The sequence below is a fragment of the Homo sapiens genome, chromosome 1, assembly GCF_000001405.40.
Source record: "Homo sapiens chromosome 1, GRCh38.p14 Primary Assembly".
NCBI lineage: Eukaryota > Metazoa > Chordata > Mammalia > Primates > Hominidae > Homo > Homo sapiens.
In genome coordinates, this window is record NC_000001.11 from 73,490,387 (window position 1) to 73,493,603 (window position 3,217).

Consider the following 3,217-nt stretch of genomic DNA (forward strand, 5'->3'; position numbering starts at 1 on the left):
GATTTTATTTCTCCTTCATTTATGAAGCTTAGTTTGGCTGGATATGAAATTCTGGGTTGAAAATTCTTTAAGAATCTAGAATATTGGCCCCCTCTCCTCTGGCTTGTAGAGTCTCTGCCAAGAGATCCGCTGTTAGTCTGACGGGCTTCCCTTTGTCGGTAACCTGACGTTTCTCTCTGGCTGCCCTTAACACTTTTTCCTTCATTTCATCCTTGGTGAATCTGACAATTATGTGTCTTGGGGTTGCTCTTCTCAAGGAGTATCTTTGTGGTGTTCTCTGTATTTCCTGAATTTGCATGTTGGCCTGCCTTGCTAGGTTGGGGAAGTTTTCCTGGACAATATACTGCAGAGTGTTTTCCAACTTGCTTCCATCCTCCCCATCACTTTCAGGCACACCAATCAAACACAGATTTGGCCTTTCCACATAGTCCCATATTTCTTGGAGGCTTTGTTCATTTCTTTTTGCTCTTTTTTCTCTAAACTTGTCTTCTCGCTTTATTTCATTAATTCAATCTTCAATCACTGATATCTTTTCTTCCACTTGATCAAATTGGCTACTGAAGCTTGTGCGTGTGTCACGAAGTTCTTGTGCCATGGTTTTCAGCTCCATCAAGTCATTTAACGTCTTCTTTACACTGTTTATTCTAGTTAGCCATTCGTCTAACCTTTTTTTCAAGGTTTTTAGCTTCCTTGTGATGGGTTAGAACATGCTCCTTTAGCTCGGAGAAGTTTGTTATTACCAACCTTCTGAAGCCTACTTCTGTCAACTCATCAAAGTCATTCTTCGTCCAGCTTTGTTCTGTTGCTGTCGAGGAGCTGCTATCCTTTCAAGGAGAAGAGATGCTCTGGTTTTTAGAATTTTCAGCTTTTCTGCTCTGGTTTCTCCCCATTTCTGTGGTTTTATCTACCTTTGGTGTTTGATGTTGGTGATCTACAGATGGGGTTTTGGTGTGGATGTCCTTTTTGTTGATGTTGATGCTATTCCTTTCTGTTTGTTAGTTTTTCTTCTAACAGCCAGGTCCCTCAGCTGCAGGTCTGTTGGAGTTTGCTGGAGGTCCACTCCAGACCCTGCTTGCCTGGGTATCACCAGTGGAGGCTGCGGAACAACAAATATTGCAGAACAGCAAGTGTTGCTGCCTGAGCCTTCCTCTGGAAGCTTCATCCCAGAGAGGCACCCTCCTATATGGGGTGTCTGTCCGCCCCTACTAGGAGGTCTCTCCCAGTTTGGCTACACGGGGGTCAGGGACCCACTTGAGGAGTTCTCAGAGCTCAAACACCATGCTGGGAGAACTACTGCTCTCTTCAGAGCTGTCACACAGGGACATTTAAGTCTGCAGAAGTTTCTGCTGCCTTTGTTAAGCTATGCCTCGCCCACAGAGGTGGAGTCTGTAGAGGCGGTAGGCCTTGCTGGGCTGCAGTGGGCTCCACCCAGTTTGCGCTTCCCGGCAGTTTTATTTACCTACTCAAGCCTCAGGAATGGTGGACTCCCATCCCCCTGCCCGGCTGCAGCCTCGCAGGTCAATCTCAGACTGCTGCACTAGCAGTGAGCAATGCCCATGGGCATTGGACCCATCGAGCCAGGCACAGAAGAGAATCTCCTGGTCTGTCGGTTGCTAAGACTATGGGAAAAGTGCAATATTTTGACGTGAGTGTCCCATTTTTCCAGGTACAGCCTGTCACGGCTTCCCTTGGCTAGGAAAGGGAAATCCCCTGACCACTTGTGCTTCCCAGGTGAGGCGATGCCCCACCCTGCTTCGGCTCACCCTCCATGGGCTGCACCCACTGTCCAACCAGTCCCAATGAGAAGAACCAGGTACCTCAGTTGGAAAAGCAGAAATCACCCGTCTTCTGCGTCTATCATGCTGGGAGCTGCACACCGGAGCTGTTCCTATTCAGCCATCTTAGACGAAGAGTGTTAGTTTCAAATTATAAAACACATGCATACACAATTGAGTTTATTATTTTTATAATCAAGTGTTAATTGGCTCTAATTATTTATTTGAATTATTTTCCTATGTGCCCCTTTTCATCACATATTGTTTTCTTCTCCTTACTTGTGAGTTTATTTTTCCTACTAGTAAACTACATGCTTTAAAAATGTTTGCATTGAGAACATAATTCTCTTAGCCTTTGTATACTTACAATATTTTAATTTTATTCTCACTCTTAAATAATATGGAGAATTCTAGGTTAACAGTTATTTTCCAATAACAGTCAGAAGATGTAATTTCATTGTCTTTTGGCATCTAGTACTGCTTATGAGAAAATTTTTAGTCAAATTTTGTTCCTTTTAAAAGAAGTAATTTTTTTTGTTTGAAACTCATTATTGCCAATATTTCAGTGTATAAAAATGAAGATTTCTTTCTTCCATCTTTCCTTCCTTTTTTTCCTTCCTTTTCAATTTCCTCTTTCCTCTTCCATTTTCTTTTTTTCTCTTTCTTTCTTTCCTTCTTTTCTTATATCATAATTATTGTTCACAGTGTGCATTCAATTTAAGCATTGTGTCTTCCTTTAGTAATGGGACATTCTCAACCATTATTTTATTTAGTGTTTCTTCTGTGCCTTTCTCTACATTTTCTAATTTGTAATCATCTGAAATTAAAGCTGTAATTTTAGTTTGTTCCTCACGTAACTTATTTTTAAAAAACCTTTATTTCTCTATGTGTGATTCAAGGAGTTCTATAATATAATCTTCCATTGCACTAATTCTCTCCTCTATTGTCTTCAGCATCTATTCTGAAGTAAAATTAATAAATTTTACTTTTATTAATTTAAGTGAATATATTAATTTTAGTGACTATAATTTGCCTTTTTATAACTTATAATTAATTTTTGGTTTTATATATGCCTATTTTATATTAATGCTATGTTAATTAATTTCACATAATACTTTTATTTTTATTGACATAATTTTCATATAGTGAAATGCACAGATCTTAAATGCTACAATCTGTGATGGTTTGACACATACTGAAATTTATACACATCCCTACCATGATGGAGAATATTTCCATCATTCCAGAAAATTCTCTCATGCTTGATCCTACAAAACTAGTAAATGTTCTGATTTTTTCCATGATTTTTGCCTGTTCTAGAACTTTATATAAAAGGAGCCAATTATGTGTATCATCTTTTGCTTTGAATAATGCATTTCACTTAGAATAACTGTTTTCATTCATGTTTTACATGTATCATAAATTTATTAATTTTTATTGCT